General features: G+C 36.9%; 1 protein-coding gene across 24 annotated transcripts in view; it reads left to right on the forward strand.

Moving 5' to 3' along the window:
- PTPN13 (protein tyrosine phosphatase non-receptor type 13) overlaps positions 1-18,300 on the forward strand; it is a 220,847-nt gene that overhangs the window by 183,628 nt on the left and 18,919 nt on the right. For 12 of the 24 annotated variants that reach the window (XM_011532165.3, XM_017008511.3, XM_017008512.3 and 9 more), the window contains 5 exons: positions 2,460-2,530; positions 4,259-4,320; positions 6,523-6,667; positions 7,289-7,426; positions 7,906-7,994. In XM_011532165.3, coding sequence (XP_011530467.1) covers positions 2,460-2,530; positions 4,259-4,320; positions 6,523-6,667; positions 7,289-7,426; positions 7,906-7,994 — 505 coding nt within the window. The remainder of the gene's footprint in view (positions 1-2,459; positions 2,531-4,258; positions 4,321-6,522; positions 6,668-7,288; positions 7,427-7,905; positions 7,995-18,300) is intronic. The other 12 variants (NM_080685.3, NM_080683.3, XM_017008514.3 and 9 more) reach the window with 1 other exon arrangement.

Raw genomic sequence — 18,300 nt, forward strand, 5'->3', positions numbered from 1 at the left:
TAGGTCCAACTGAATATTTTGCCTCAAAATTAGTAGAGCACTCTTCAGCTCAGCCTTGAAGTCATTTTCTTTTGTCTTTCTGCTTTTATCTTAGCTGTCGTCACCAAAAATACAGTCATGGTAGTCACAGTTATTTTCTCCTTTGTTCTTCTTCTAGCTCTCTCTTCATTGTGTTTATCTACCCTCTTTTATTAAAGTCCATAGGGTAGCAATAATGGAGTGATGTATACTTGTGGTAATTATCTGTATGTCCACCTTCTAGAGACTCCTCATACTCCTTGGTTTATGACTTCCTTCCATAAAGGGAACTGTAAAGGGTTTAGGATTTTACTGTACTTGCAAGCTAATAAGCTAGCCTGTCTTTGTTACATGGATACTGGCAGAAGACATAAAACTCCTGAATCAGAGATAAAAGACTATTACTAATGCATAGCAAGCAGCATGAGCATGGCATTAGTGTCAGTTCCACGTCTTCCAAGTCCCGTAAAAATGATGTATGTGACGCACCTCCCCCCGCCCACCCAGGCAAAGCAGTGCCTGGTATCACATCACACAAAAGGAACAAAAGCAAAACACACAAACCAGCTTCAACTTACACTTGGTTACTCAAAAGAACAAGAGTCAATGGTACTTGTCCTAGCGTTTTGGAAGAGGAAAACAGGAACCCATCAAACCAACCAATCAACCAAACAAAGAATAAATTCCACAATGAAAGCACGTATTTTGTCTTTTTGCATTTTGGTGTATAAGCCATCAATATTCAGCAAAATGATTTCTTTCTTTAAAAAAAAGTGGAGGAAAGTAGAAATTTACCAAGGTTGTTGGCCCGGGGCGTTAAATTTACAGATTTTTTTAACGAGAAAAACACACAAAAAAAGCTACCTCAGGTGTTTTTTACCTCAGCACCTTGCTCTTGTGTTTCCCTTAGAGATTTTGTAAAACTGATAGTTGGAGCATTTTTTTTTATTTTTTTAATAAAAATGAGTTGGAAAAAAAAAAGATATCAACTGCCAGCCTGGAGAAGGTGATAGTCCAAGTGTGCAACAGCTGTTCTGAATTGTCTTCCGCTAGCCAAGAACCTATATGGCCTTCTTTTGGACAAACCTTGAAAATGTTTCTTTAAAAAAAAAAAAAAAAAGATGACAAAGAAAAACAGAGATAATATTGGAGATGTCCTGAATTTTAATAGGGTACATGCCATTAGGGCTTTTTGCACTAAAGGATGAACATGTACTGGTTTATGTGGACAAGCCATTATACCACCAGACTGCAATGCCAGTTTCCTCTACGGTGAAACCCCGTCTCTACTAAAAATACAAAAAATCTTAGCCGGGCGTGGTGGCGGGCGCCTGTAGTCCCAGCTACTCGGGAGGCTAAGGCAGGAGAATGGCGTGAACCCGGGAGGTGGAGCTTGCAGTGAGCCGAGATAGCGCCACTGCACTCCAGCCTGGGTGACAGAGCAAGACTCCGTCTCCAAAAAAAAAAAAAAAATGATGTATGTGGGCCTGTGGATTTGTACACATGCAATAGGTTGTATTATAGGAGAGGAATGCTATGAGAAGAGCCTTGGGAACCCACCATTTTGTAGCAGTCTGTAAGAAAGCCTGTTTTTTGTTGGGGGAGAGAAGTTACCACATCCTTCATGGTTGCACACTGCAGATACAACCTTAAGAAACGGCCCAGATAAAAAGAGGTCAGGACCTTGCATTTTGGGGCTAGTCAGCAAGAACATACAGGGGTACTCAGAACTTTAAGTATATTGCCTCTCCCAATACTGTACACCTTAGGCAACTCCCCTCTTCTCTCAATTATCAGCAACAATAAGATTGCATACTAATCTTCTATTTCTGAGGTGCTATCTTTTTGGCTGTTTTGTACTTTGGGTGGTACCATTCTTATAATCCTTTGAATAGAAATACTTCATCTAGATTTTCTCTTTAATTTAAAAGAAAAACACGTATCAAGGGCTTTAGATATATAAAACTTAATGAACTGTGATTTCTAAGTTATCTTTAAACTATTGACTAAGTGACAGTGAACCGAGTTATTAGATAATGAATATTAGCAGTGTTTTAAATAAAAGGGGAAATAGGGTGATATGTTAAACTGAAGCCCAGAGAAAACCTACGTAAAGAAGTGATTCTTAATCTTTTTTGGGTCAAGAATATCTCCCGGGCCAGTCACGGTGGCTCACACCTGTAATCTCAGCACTTTGGGAGGCCTAGGCAGGTGGATTGCTTGAACTCAGGAGTTCGAGACCAGCCTGGGCAACATGAAAAAACCCCATCTCTACAAAAAATACAAAAAAATAGCTGGGCATGGTGGCACATGCCTGTGGTCCCAGCTCCTTGGGAGGCTGAGGTGGGAGCATTGCTTGAGGCCAGGAGGATTGCTTGGGCCTGGGAGGTCAAGGCTACAATGTCCAAGACAATTTACAGTTGTCTTTTTTTACAACACAGAAATGATCTTCCAGTGGTCCCCAGCTCAAAGAGGTCTGCTGTTTCAGCTCCAAAGTCAACCAAAGGCAATGGTAAGGATATATTCATTTTACTGTACTCTCCTACGGTAATGGGAATGTAAAATGGCACATCCATTTTGGAAAACAGGTTGACAATTTCTTAAAAATTATAACTTACACCTAAAATATAATCCAGCTTTTTCACTGCCAGCTGTTCACTTGAAGAAAGTAAGCCTATATTCTACATAAAAACTTGGACAGAAATGTTTCTAGCACTTACTTGTAGTAGCCAAAATTTGAAACAACTCAAATGTCCAAAAACTGTTGAACTGAAAAACTGGTTGTAATATATCCAAACAATGAAAAGCTACACAGCAATAAAAAGGAATGGACTATTGATACAAGCAAAAAAATAATTAAAATAAACTCAAAATAAATGTTCTGAATTAAATAAGCCAGAGCATAAGAGAAATAGTTCATACTGTATGATTCTATTACACAGTTGTAGACAATGCAAATTATAGTGACAGCAGCTCAGTGGTTATGTGGGACAAACGGGAAGGAAGCATTTAGGGGAACAGGAGAAAGAGATTACAACTATTATGTTTCATACTCTGCCAATATGATTGTTTTGAACCGGTGGTGTATTATTGGTATACTTTTTTATTTTTCTTAGAAATTTAATAATATTTTTCTTGCAAGGAATATTAAAATCCATTCTTGGACTCTTTGTAACATCATCCACAGAATTCTAAAGACTTGTCTATAAAAATTCCATCTCAACTTTTATCTTTCTAGGCAGAATTATTTCAGGGTCATTCCCAAATAGAGGTTCTTAAATGTATTTACCTATATTTGTTTCTTTCTTTGTTTTGTTATAAAGTTTTCCAAACTCTACCGTATTTTTCTCAGTCTCTTGAAAATATAATTTAATGAATGAAGTTATATTTAAATATGTGATGTTTTAGCTGTAAGTGAAATATAATCTCCTTTTTTAATATATTGAATTTTTGTAATGATAGCTAAGAATTAAAATTAACATTTGGTTTAAAAATACATTAAAAGTTCTTTTCTGTTTTATCCATAATTTATTTTCCTGTGTTGAATTGATAGTCTTTTTGAAATCAGACTTTAAAAAGCTTACTACCTTCTTTTAAATAGTAAAGTGAACATAGTTAAGCACCTGTGATGGATCACCCATTCAGTGCGAAAAATTATAATCAGTGTATCACATGAACCATTCAGCCCAAACTGAGCTTTGATGTGAACTATTTTCTTTTAAGAAATTAGCTTTTTCCTCACACCTGTAATCCCAGCACTTTGCGAGGCCGAGGCGGGCAGATCACGAGGTCAGGAGATCAAGACCATCCTGGCCAACATGGTGAAACCCCGTCTCTACTAAAAATATGAAAATTAGCTGGGCATGGTGGCACACACCTGTAATCCCAGATACTTGGGAGGCTGAGGCAGGAGAATCGCTTGAACCAGGGAGTCAGAGGTTGCAGTGAGCCGAGATCGCACCACTGCACTCCAGCCTGGCAACAGAGCATGACTCTGTCGAAAAAAAAAAAAAAGAAAAAGAAATTAGCTTTTTCCTTGGGATAAACCCAAAAATATTAGAGGTTTGGAATCAAATATTATTCCATTTATTTGGTTTTTAATCATTTTGTAATATGAATTATTTTTGTGTACTAATAAAAATAACAACATCCCAGAAATGTGAGTTTTCTTTAATTATTTTGATGTCCCTCTTGTGGTTTGGATTGGCTCATCCCCTTACTTCCTATATTGTCCTTTCAGGTTCCTACAGTGTGGGGTCTTGCAGCCAGCCTGCCCTCACTCCTAATGATTCATTCTCCACGGTAAGAAAAAGCCCACCCTCTTTCATGTCATACCTCCTTATCTGAGGAACTGCATGTTTGTGTTTTGAACCAAACTGATTTCATATTTAAATATTTGTCTTCTTTAGATATTCATATTAATAGTAAGGCTATATTTTACTGAACTAATAGGCCTTGCTAAGTAAATCATACAACATAGAGCCTCACATAGGTAACCGTACATCATTTAGCACACACTCAGCTTTTAAATACACTAACCAGTTAAATAGATAACTTTAGTGCGGAGATTTTTCTTATTAATGTGTAAAATTCTTTTGATTGTCTCTTAGACCATGGGAAGAGAAGAATAATATAATTAAGAGTGGAATTGTTCCTTTGGGCTATTTTTGGCGAGTAGTAACCTTCAAGTTCAAATCTGTGCAATCAGTGAGGAAAAAACAGAAGTAGCAAAAAAATAAATAAATAAAAAGTAGGTTTACTTGCTTTTGAAAGACTTAGAAAATGCTTTACCAAATGATTAAATGAGAGAGCTTTAATCATTTAAGATTAGCACAGAGAAATCTAGGGGTGACTAAACAAAACTAATACATAGTTAAATTCCATTTCATGCTCTTTTTAAGTCTACTTTTATGCCCATTTGGCTAACATCCCTTTTTGTGGTTTTCTTCCTGGTATGTAATATACATTTCTACAGTGATCAGAGCTAGATCTTCATTTCATGGAATTGTTTTATTCCACATGCATCCCATACAATATGTTCTGAACTTCAATATGGAATGGCTTTCCATGTAAAATACAGCGCTGAGGGATTGCTCTTTTATTAATCCGAAAGTCTTATTATGTCAACATGAGCTGGCTTTAGTGTGGGAGGAGAAAAATAATTTCATGACCAGAATTCCAAAATTCTACACCTTTCATTTCATTATGTTGTCTCACACTTGTGATTTGGTCTAGCAAGCCATGAAAAGATAATTACAGCAGAACATTTTAAGGTAGTAATGATTGAGACACAAAAGCAAAAATTTTTTGTTATTTGTATGTGTTGAAATTGAGCTACAGCAACACTCACTATTCTCTGTTTATTCAGAATGTCTTCAATTTCACATAGCCAAAGCAACTGAATTTTCATGTATTTCTAGTAATATTCACACTGTATAGTGCTCTTCTTTTTAAGTAATCAGTATGTTGTTGAAAGAAAGAAGAGTTGAGTTTTTGTGAAATTAACATAAAACCCTAGAAACCAGGACTTTTGCTGTTCATGGCTGCCAGCATTTTTTGGTTGGAGTTAAAATCTTCCAGGAAGTCTCCCAAACAATACTGTGTCCTTGAATGCTAATATCTATACTATTAATTTCTCATTGAGAATGGAGTTTCATAATCCAGTGATGCTTTTTGATATTATATTACCACTATTTATTTTTTAAAATTCTATTGCATCTACCATGTGTACTTTTTATCTTAATAGAATGAGTGAAACCTTGAGAGCAAAGCACAACCTTTTATTTGTATAAAATTATTTTAATTTATTCCAAGCATTTATTTTTGCATTTTTTTCAAGTGATTTTTCTTTTGATAGGCTATGCTCCATGAAGTGCTTTACAGTTGAACATTGCATTCAAAATTTACATTCTATTCAATAATTATTCTATTGTTATGAATTCATTATTTTTCTTAAATTTATATGAGACTTAGACTAGATTTGAAAATCTTTATACCTAATAGATTATCAGGTCACTAAATTGGAGACTATATCCATGTAATACACTCACAAGTACTTGAAAAGTTGGTATTTTCTCTTTCCCTCAACTTCTAAGCTTTAATAGTCCTATTAAACTTTTTTAAAATTGTATGAAAGACAAGTCTTATAAAATTGCTTCAAAAAAGAGATGTCTACAGTCAGATATTTTAAGAAGTACTACATAATAGAGTTATCTTTTGGCAACTCAAAGTTTATATTAGCAAGGACTGTGAAAATTCCTGGAATAAAAATTTTGAGTTAATGTTGTTTCACCTAGTATTTCCAGATATATTTAATGATGGGAAGCCCCATGCCCTATGCACATTTAATTGCACTGATATTTCCTTTCAAACACTGATCTAAGGTGGAGAGATGTAAAATGGATCTTGTACTAAGAAAGAAGAGGAGAGAGACAATGTGCAGTCCCCCGATCCTGGAAGTTAGTAAAATACTATCTGATGATTTGCTTTGGTTTTATGCTTTAGGTTGCTGGGGAAGAAATAAATGAAATATCGTACCCCAAAGGAAAATGTTCTACTTATCAGATAAAGGGATCACCAAACTTGACTCTGCCCAAAGGTAGTTTTCCAAATCAGTCATCTAATTACTCTAAATGCCCTAATAATTCAGGTAATTAAAAAAAAATAGGTATCCTCTTTTCTTTGCTTTATATGTTACTGTAGCTTTAAAGGGAAAGATTATTGGTCAAATAAACAAAAGAACAATATATAAATGTCCCAGTATTCATTCTCGTCTCTGAGACTAATTTTTTTTAAATGATTGAAAAGATAGCTGCTGTGTTTTACAGTGTTTCTTGTATTTTGTGAAGTAGCAATTCACAGGCTACCTAATAGTTTAGAAAAAGTATCTTGAGGATGTTTTGTCTGATCTATTATATCCTTAATCATTGTAACATAACTTTGTTTCTTTCATAAATTAATACATTGAGAGTCATTTAAGAAAATAAACATTAAATTATTAATGCCTTGTGAAAAGCCGTATCACCAACATTGATTTTAGTTTATTCTTTGTAATTTGCATTTGTGTGGTCTTCCATCATAGCAGCCAGGGTAGTTTTAGAACTAAAAATGACTGGATCACATTAGTGTAAACTACTTTTCCAGTCATTGCTACTTTTAAAATTGGTTGCTTAAAATTTGAAAGCACCTAGCAAATTCTGTTTAACACCTTGTCCCTTTCTCGTGTCAATATTTTTAAAGTAAAACCCCATGTAAATTATTATTTTTCAAGAATCTTATATACAAGAAGATGACATTTATGATGATTCCCAAGAAGCTGAAGTTATCCAGTCTCTGCTGGATGTTGTGGATGAGGAAGCCCAGAATCTTTTAAACGAAAATAATGCAGCAGGATACTCCTGTGGTCCAGGTACGTGAACCAGATGAATAAATTGGTATACTATGGAGTACAAAAACGTCTCTAGGGAGCATTTTTTGAGTAAATATGTAATGCATTAGTTCTTCTTCTGTTCCTCATTCATGTGTAATATTTCAGAAACAAAACAGAATTTGTTATCTCCTATTTTTTTTATTTTCCATATTTGTAAGTGGGTTACCTTATTAGTGAGATCTCCAAATGTATCATTTATATCATGGCTTTTACTTCTAGTAGGGTTAGTCCAAACATTTTCCCCCAGCCATTCTCATTTTAATTTTAGTAGATAATTTTAACCAGAAATTTTATACCAAAATGTACTTGATCATTTCTTCCTAACTTTTCTAGTTAAAACATTGAAACTATTTATGGATATTGGTTTATACACTGCCTTCTTTTGCAGGCAAATGAAAACTTTTCTACTTCCTCAATAGTTTTATAAATTCCTCTTGGCCTATATATTCCTCTCTCAGGTACATTAAAGATGAATGGGAAGTTATCAGAAGAGAGAACAGAAGATACAGACTGCGATGGTTCACCTTTACCTGAGTATTTTACTGAGGTAACAATAATACCTAAACAACCTAGGATATGACAGCTTGTTACAATTATGGGTTTAACCCAGAAGGTGAAATAATCAGAGATTCTTTCCTGTTTTACTCAAAAATTAAATTTAGGAGGAAAACGGAGATTAATTTCATGTGTTACATTAAAGTGTCATCCTATCCTAGTGAAAGAATCATTACACAAATTTTCTCAAATTAAAAAAAATAGAAAAAAAAACAATTAGTTTTCAAAAATGTAATGCTAAACTTTATAAATTATTCTTTAAAACCTTAAAACTTAGGATCTTCTGGGATATTAGGCTAAGGAAAAGCATGAAATAGTAGATAAATTATATTTCAGGTTCTTCAAGCTCAGCATCACCCTATGTATACAAATCTGACCTTGCTTAATATTCTGGGATAATTCTCCTCATTATCCTTCTTAGTCTTCCTACTTCATATCTTCAAAATTATTAAAACTGTGCTGGTTTGAATGTTCTTACACTAGTTATCATGCATGCTTATACTTACACACAATCTCATCCATACATGACTGTTCATTAAATATTTACAAATAATGTGTATATATACAAGGAAGCTTACGGCTGATAAGTATGTATTTCTCAAGCTACAAGAATAATCATACAAATATTAGATATCTCAAAATGTGGCATTCGCTAGTGGTTTTTCTTAAGATGCTCTTTCATATAATCAGAATATTAATAATTACAGTAAAAATAGGCTCTTTAGAGAAGATTTTCTGAACATTTTAAGTCATGACTTTATCACATTTTTATTAATATTTAATAGTAATATTAAAATGCCCCTTAAAATGTATGTTGTAATGTCTTTTAACTAAGAAAATAAAAATCTTTAATTGCCATTTCAGAAATGTGATGTAGGCCGGGCGCGTTGGCTCATGGCGGTAATCCCAGCACTTTTGGAAGGCCGAGGAGGGCAGATCACTTGAGGTCAGGAGTTCAAGACCAGCCTGGCCAACATGGTGAAACCCTGTCTCTGCCAAAAATATAAAAAATTAGCCAGATGTGGTGGCGCACACCTGTATTCCCAGCCCCTCGGGAGGCTGAGGCAGGAGAATCACTTGACCCAGGAGACAGAGGTTGCATTGAGCGGAGATCATGCCGTTGCACTCCAGCCTGGGCAATGGAGCGAGACTCAGTCTCAAAAAAAAAAAAGTCATGTCACATGCTTTTTCTTTTAAAAAAGTAAGGAAAGCTTGTTAATATAGATTCTCATTTATACTGAGCTATGACTGTTTTATGGCAGAAAACTTCTTTCAAGTTATCTTTTTTTTATTATTTTCATTATGAAAATATTACATCCTTATTGTAAAAAAGTTTCCAACAGAATCTTCAAAACTGTTAAGTCCTAGCCGGGCATGGTGGCTCACGCCTGTAATCCCAGCACTCTGGGAGGCCAAGGTAGGCGGATCACCTGAGGTTGGGAGTTCAAGACCAGCCTGGCCAACATGGAGAAACCCCGTCTCTACTAAAAATACAAAATTAGCCGGGCAAGGTGGTACATGCCTGTAATCCCAGCTACTCGGGAGGCTGAGGCAGGAGAATCCTTTGAACCTGGCAGACGGAGGTTGCGGTGAGCCGAAATCACGCCATTGCCCTCCAGCCTGGGCAACAAGAGCGAGATTCTGTCTCAAAAAAAAAAAAAAGTCCCTTTTTAAAAACATATTTATCTTATTCATCTGAGGTAGCTATTGTTAAAAATTTTGATTTCTACCTTTCCACTGTGCATATCAAAACATAAATATTTGTATACATACATAATTTTTTAATATACGTTTTATCACATGGTTCTGAATTTGGTTTTCACTTAACAATCATTACCCTCTTTCCATGTGAGACGTATAAATTTGCCTCATACTTTTTAAAGCCTTCCTATCATTTTATTGTAAGGTTATACCATAATTTATTAAATTGGCCATCTGTTAATGAATTTTAGATTTCTTATCAATAAGAGGAAACAAATTATTAGGAACTATATAATTGTCTTGCCACTGGAGTACAGATAGATCCTGCAAATACATGCATTGAGAATACATTTTGGGCTAGATAAATTAGTGCTTCCTGAATAAATGGGACTTTTGCTTTAGAATCTGTTTTAAATAATGGTAAACAAAGCAAAGAAAATGAGGGAACAAATTTAGGAAAGGAGTAACAGGGATCTTAGATTAAAACATTTAAAAATTTTATTTGTATCTAATTCTAGGAACACGTTTAAATCACTATGGCAATTATATTCATAAGCAGACAAATTTAAAATTTGCAAATATGACTAATCTCCCCTAGCTGAAAAGAAGACCAAGCTGGTATTCTGGAAAAGTTTTCTGTTTCATCTTGTATTTCTAGAATATTACCTACATTTTAGAACTGGCTAGTTTTAAAAATTATTTAGAACTTCTGACAATAATCTTTTGTAAGTTCTTGAAATCACCCTAAACAAATTGTATATTATTTACTGAATTGGTTCTAACAGTATATTCTGTAACTTTGAAAGTTTTATCATGTGGCAAAAGTTAAGATGCTAACCATTGGTATTACAAAAGTATAGGAATATCTTCTTACAGAAGAAAGATTATACCTCTGATAGCTATTTATACATTCATTGTATTTCTTATTCAGTATTGTAATTGTACTCTTTGGTACCTCTTAGTGAAGTACTTCAGGTCAATGCCTGTGTCTCATTTAAGAATGAAAGAATGAATGCTAATCGTATACATTACTATAAATTATTGTCTACAGTTTCAAAACCATTCAGCTATTGAACTCATCTGACTAATTTTGCTGGGGATAATAGGGTAAGAAGAGGTGTTAGGGTTTCTGTCCTAAATTTGCTTGTCCAGTCTAGTAGTCAGCTTGAGGGAAGTACACATGTAAATAAGTAAATAATTTTTAAAAAGCTATAGAAACATATTCTGTTAAATGTTTATATGGAGTTCAGTGGGACCTACAAAGAAGGGGGGAAATGGTAGGGGCTACACAGGAGTAGGTGGATAAAGTTATTAAAGCTTTCTAAAGAATTAGCATCTTAAAGGTATTTGATAGTTAAGCTAGGAAAGAGCATTCCATACATACCGTGGAGCTGCTTTAGCAGAGGAATGAAGGCATAGATGAGCCTGGAACATTCAGGACACTAAGTCATTGCGAGTAGGGTATCACAGGGTGTCTTGAAAGCTAAACCTAAAAAGATAGGCAAGGTATTAGTTCATGAAGTGACTTACATGCCATGCCAAGGAATTTGATCTTTCCACATCTCTTGCCACTGAAATGGATCAATATGCTTTCTAATTCTGGTTATTTTTTAATGGCTTTAATTTCTTCAAACATTGTCTTCTTATGTAGTGTTTTTAATTTCTTAAGCAAAAACAAGGCAAAAACTTTTAGTGACTCTCCATCACCTGAGGATAATCCTGCTTGACTGGTTGGATCTTAGGACTGGCTTTATGGGCATTCAACCAGTGCAATCACACAGAACCCTGTGCTTGTAAGAGCCTCCTACTCCTAATATGCTATAGTGCTGTGCTATCACCAACTTGAAGTTCTTAGTAAGTTTTTAACAAGAGATACCTTATTTGCATGTGACTCTTGGCACTACAAATTAGGTAGTTCGTCCTAGATCAAGGAGATGTCTCCTCTACTCTCAAGTTACTGGATCTGGATTCCTTGAGCACTAGGATTGTAAAATAACCTTCAAAGGGGCTGACCACGATAAAAAAAAATCTTAAATATATTCAGTGAGGCAGTACCACAGCTGCCTCCTCTTCCAAAGGTCCTTCAGTCCATAGTGACAAGAAACTGAAGGCCAATCTTCTTAACGCAACCCTCCCCCATACACAAGTGAACTTTACAAAAATAGTGGTAATTGGTTAATACAGGTATCACTGTAGCTTTTTTTTTTTTTTTTGAGTAACAGCAAGATTTATTGTGAAGGGCAAAAGAACAAAGCTTCCACACACAGTGTGGAAGGGGACCCAAGCAGGTTGCCCCACTGTAACTTATTTCTAATTGAGCTTTACCTCACCATTTTCATTTAATAATTGTGTTATTAAAATTTTCATATTTATAATAGCACTTAACTCTTATAAAAGGCTTTGTACTTTCTAAAATCATTATACACATACTATATTCTTAGACCAGGATTGTAATGGGGAATAAGAAATCCAAATGACTTTAGTTGGAAAAAAATTTTAATCCAGACTAAAATGAGCAGCTTCTCGAAAGAGATGAGTTTCCTTTTAGTTGACAGTGGATTAAAACCTTTTTTCTTCTACTGTAGAACTTCTACATTTACATCAACTAAATTGAAATTATTATCAGGGTAATTTAATTATGGTACTTTTTAACTCTACAAAGTCTGTAACTGAAAGGTCATATTACAGGTGTCATTTTTATTAAATGGATGAAATAACCTATGTCACAGACATAAGTGTGTGTGGGCACACAGTGGTGAACAGATCGACATGATTCCTGCCTTGGTAGAGCTTAATGATGGAGAGGAAAGGAGAAAAAATCAAACACACAAATAGATATGTAATTACAAGTTGTGTTAAGGTCTGTGAAGTTTGTTTGTTGTTTTTAAGTGCCACACACACACACACACAAAAAGAATAACCAAGGAAACCTGCTTTAGATTGGGTGGATAGAAAACATCTTCAGGAGGAGAAGACACAATGCTGAATTTTTTAGTAAGGATTCACCCTTAGAAGGGCTTTGTGGTAGGAAGAGATGAGTGATTTTGAAGAACTGAAAGACCCATGAATTTGAAGCCACTGGGTAAAGGGGAGATTATAAAAGTAGACAGGGGCCAGATAATTCAGGGCCTTCAAGGGAATTTCCTATTTGTTAAGAAAATTTGTCCTGATAAAGATTCAATTGTATAATTTACCGACCATTTAAGAATACAATTTGGGGGTGGTCACTTCCAAAATGACCGAATAGGAACAGCTCCAGTCTGCCACTCCCAACGAAATCGACGCAGAAGACAGGTGATTTCTGCATTTCCAACTGAGGTGCCTGGTTCATCTCAATGGGACTCGTTGGACAGTGGGTGCAGCCTACAGAGGGTGGGCTGAAGCAGGGTGGGGCGTCGCCTCACACGGGAAGCACAAGGTGTCAGGGGATTTCCCTTTCCTAGCCAAGCAAAGCCATGACAGACTGTACCTGGAGAAATGGTATACCCCTGACCAAACACTGTGCTTTTCCCACAGTCCCAGCAACCAGCAGACCAGGAGATACTGTCCCATGTCTGGCTCAGCGGGTCCCAAGCCCACGGAGCCTTGCTCACTGCCAGCGCAGCAGTCTGAGATCAACCTGTGACACTGCAGCTTGACCAGTGGGGGGCATCCACCATTGCTGAGGCTTGAGTAGCTCACAGTGTAAACAAAGCGGCCGGGAAGCTTGAACAGGGCAGAGCCCACCGCAACTCAGCAAGGCCTACTGCCTCTCTAGATTCCACCTCTGGGGGCAGGGCAGAGCAGAACAAAAGGAAGCAGACAGCTTCTCCAGACTTAAATGTCCCTGTCTGACAACTCTGAAGAGAGCAATGGTTCTCCCAGCATGGCGTTCGAACTCTGAGAATGGACAGACTGCCTCCTCAAGTGGGTCCCTGATCCCCGTGTAGCCTGACTGGGAGACATCTCCCAGGAGGGGCCGACAGACACCTCAAACAGGCGGGTGCCCCTCTGGGATGAAGCTTCCAGAGGAAGCATCAGGCAGCAATATTTGCTGTTCTGCAGCCTCCGCTGGTGATACCCAGGCAAACAGGGTCTGGAGTGGACCTCCAGCAAACTCCAACAGACCTGCAGCTGAGGGGCCTGTTAGAAGGGAAACTAACAAACAGAAAGGAATAGCATCAACATCAACAAAAAGGACATCCACACCAAAACCCTATCTGTAGGTCACCAACATCTAAGACCAAAGGTAGATAAAACCACAAAGATGGGGAGAAACCAGAGCAGAAAAGCAGAAAATTCCAAAAACCAGAGTGCCTCTTCTCCTCCAAAGGATCGCAGCTCCTTGCCAGCAAGGGAACAAAACTGGACAGAGGATGAGTTTGACAAGTTGACAGAAATAGACTTCAGAAGGTCGGTAATAACAAACTTTCCCAGGCAAAAGGAGCATGTTCTAACAAGTCGCAAGAAAGCTAAAAACCTTGAAAAAAAGGTTAGATGAATGGCTAACTAGAATAAACAGTGTAGAGAAGACCTTAAATGACCTGATGAAGCTGAAAACCACAGCACGAGAACTTCATGACACATGCACAAGCTTCAATCGCCGATTCGATCAAGTAGAAGAAAGGATATCAGTGATTGAAGATCAAATTAATGAAATAAAGCAAGAAGACAAGATTAGAGAAAAAAGAGTGAAAAGAAATGAACAAATGCTCTTAGAAATATGGGACTGTGTGAAAAGACCAAATCTACATTTGATTGGTGTACCGGAAAGGACAGGCAGAATGGAACCAAGTTAGAAAACACTCTTCAGGATATTATCCAGGAGAACTTCACTAACCTAGCAAGGCAGGCCAACATTCAAATTCAGGAAATACAGAGAACACCACAAAGATACTCCTTGAAAAGAGCAACCCCAAGACACATAATTGTCAGATTCACCAAGGGTGCAATGAAGGAAAAAATGTTAAGTGTGCAGCCAGAGAGAAAGGTCAGGTTGCCCACAAAGGGAAGCCCATCAGAATAACAGCGATCTCTCAGCAGAAAGCCTACAAGCCAGAAGAGAGTGGAGGCCAATATTCAACATTCTTAAAGGAAAGAATGTTCAACTCAGAATCTCATATCCAGCCAAACTAAGCTTCATAAGTGAAGGAGAAATAAAATCCTTTGCAGACAAGCAAATGCTAACAGATTTTGTCACCACCAGGCCTGCCTAACAAGAACTCCTGAAGGAAGCACTAAACATGGAAAGGAACATCCAGTACCAGCCACTGCAAAAACATACCAAGTGGTAAAGACTATCGATGCTGTGAAGAAACTGCATCAATTAACAGGCAAAATAACGAGCTAACATCATAATGACAAGATCAAATTCACACATAACAATATTAACCGTAAGTGTGTATGGGCTAAATGCCCCAATTAAAAGACACAGACTGGCAATTGGATAAAGAGTCAAGACCCATTGGTGTGCTGTATTCAGGAGACCCATCTCATGTGCAATGACGTGCATAGGCTCAAAATAAAGGGATGGGGGAAGATCTACCAAGCCAATGGAAAGCAAAAAAAGCAGGGGTTGCAATCCTAGTCTCTGATAAAACAGACTTTAAACCAACAAAGATCAAAAAAGACAAGGCCACTATATAATGGTAAAGGTATCAAATCAACAGGAAGAACTAACTATCCTAAATATATGTGCACCCAATACAGGAGCACCCAGATTCATAAAGCAAATCTTTAGAGACCTACAAAGAGACTTGGACTCCTACACAATAATAATGGGAGACTTTAACACCCCACTGTCAATATTAGACAGGTCAACAAGACAGAAGGTTAACAGGGATATCCAGGACTTGAATTCACCTCTGTACCAAGTGGACGTAATAGATATTTACAGAACTCTCCACCCCAAATCAGCAGAATATACATTCTTCTCAGCACCACATCACACTTATTCTAAAATTGACCACATAATTGGAAGTAAAACACTACTCAGCAAATGTAAAAGAACAGAAATTATAACAAACTGTCTCTCAGACCACAGTGCAATCAAATTAGAACTCAGGATTAATAAACTTACTCAAAACCACACAACTACATGGAAACTGAACAACCTGCTCCTGAATGACTACTGGGTATATAACAAAATGAAGGCAGAAATAAAGATGTCCTTTGAAACCAATGAGAACAAAGACACAACATACCAGAATCTCTGGGACACATTTAAAGCAGTGTGTAGAGGGAAATTTATAGCACTAAATCCCCACAAGAGAAAGAAGGAAAGATCTTGACAGCCTAACATCACAATTAAAAGAACTAGAGAAGCAAGAGCAAACACATTCAAAAGCTAGCAGAAGGCAAAAAATAACTAAGATCAGAGCAGAACTGAAGGAGATAGAGACACAAAAAACCATTCAAAAAATCAGTGAATCCAGGAGCTAGTTTTTTGAAAATATCAACAAAATAGACTGCTAGCAAAAAGTCAAATTGTCTCTGTTTGCAGATGACATGATTGTATATTTAGAAAACCCCATCGTCTCAGTCCAAAATCTCCTTAAGCTGATAAGCAACTTCAGCAAACTCTCAGGGTACAAAATCAATGTGCAAAAATCGCAAGCATTCATATACACCAACAGTAGACAGAGCCAAATCATGTGTGAACTCCCATTCACAATTACCACAAAGAAAATAAAATACCTAGGAATCCAACTTACGAGGGATGTGAAGGACCTCTTCAAGCAGAACTACAAACCACTGCTCAACGAAATAAAAGAGGACACAAACAAATGGAAGAACATTCCATGCTCATGGATAGGAAGAATCAATATCGTGAAAATGGCCATACTGCCCAAAGTAATTTATAGATTCAATGCTATCCCCATCAAGCTACCACTGACTTTCTTCCCAGAATAGGAAAAAACTACTTTAAAGTTCATATGGAACCCAAAAAGAGTCCACATAGCCAAGACAATCCTAAGCAAAAAGAACAAAGCTGGAGGCATCACACTACCTGACTTCAAACTATACTACAAGGCTACAGTAACCAAAACAGCATGGTACTGGTACCAAAACAGATATAAAGACCAATGGAACAGAACAGAGGCCTTAGAAATAATACTACCCATCTACAGCCATCTGATCTTTGACAACCCTGACAAAAACAAGCAATGGGGAAAGGATTCCCTATTTAATAAATAGTGCTGGGAAAACTGGCTGGCCATATGTAGAAAGCTGAAACTGGATCCCTTGCTTATGCCGTATACAAAAATTAACTCAAGATGGATTAAAGACGTAAATGTAAGACCTAACACCATAAAAACCGTAGAAGAAAACCTAGGTGGTACTATTCAGGACATAGGCATGGGCAAAGACTTCATGACTAAAACAACAAAAGCAATGGCAACAAAAGCCAAAATTGACAAATGGGATCTAATTAAAGAGCTTCTGCTCAGCAAAAGAAACTCATTAAGAGTGAACAGGCAACCTACCAAATGGGAGAAAACTTTTGCAATCTACCCATCTGACAAAGGACTAATATCCTGAATCTACAAATAACTTAAACAAATTTACAAGAAAAAAGCAATTCCATCAAAAAGTGGGCAAAGGATATGAACAGACTCTTCTCAAAAGAAGACATTTATGCAGCCAACAGACATATGAAAAAATGCTCATCATCACTGGTCATCAGAGAAATGCAAATCAAAACCACAATGAGATACCATCTCATGCCGGTTAGAATGGCAATCGTTAAAAAGTCAGGAAACAACAGATGCTGGAGAGGATGTGGAGAAATAGGAACGCTTTTACACTGTTGGTGGGAGTGTAAAGTAGTTCAACCTTTGTGAAAGACAGTGTGGCAATTCCTCAAGGATCTAGAACTAGAAATACCATTTGACCCAGTGATCACATTACTGGGCATCTACCCAAAGGATTATAAATCACGCTACCATAAAGACACATGCACACGTATGTTTATTGCAGCACTGTTCACAATAGCAAAGACATGAAACCAACCCAAATGTCCATCGATGATAGACTGAATAAAGAAAATGTGGCACATATACACCATGGAATACTATGCAGCCATAAAACAGGATGAGTTCATGTCCTTTGCACAGACATGGATGAAGCTGGAAACCATCATTCTAAGCAAACTATCACAAGGACAGAAAACCAAACACCACATGTTCTCACTCATAGGTGGGAGTTGAACAATGAGAACACATGGACACAGGGCGGGGAATGTCACACACCAGGGCCTTTTGGGGTTTGGGGGCCTGGGGGAGGGATAGCATTAGGAGAAATACCTAATGTAAATGATGAGTTGATGGGTACAGCAAACCAACAAGGCACATGTCTACCTACATAACAAACCTGCATGTTGTGCACATGTACCCTAGAACTTAAAGTATAATAGAAAAAATAATACAATTTGGCATTTCTTTCTAATTGTAGCAAACTGCTCCTGCTGCAGTATTTGAATCTCTGAAACACACCATACTCAGTTAAAGTATGAGTTGACTAATCTTTAATGATAAAGGGGCAATATATTATAATCTAACATATTTGAAACTACTAAGATTTTCTTGAAGCTTTTTTTAGATTTTAAAATTGAAGTA

Source organism: Homo sapiens, chromosome 4, assembly GCF_000001405.40.
Source record: "Homo sapiens chromosome 4, GRCh38.p14 Primary Assembly".
In the NCBI taxonomy this organism is placed as follows: Eukaryota; Metazoa; Chordata; class Mammalia; order Primates; family Hominidae; genus Homo; species Homo sapiens.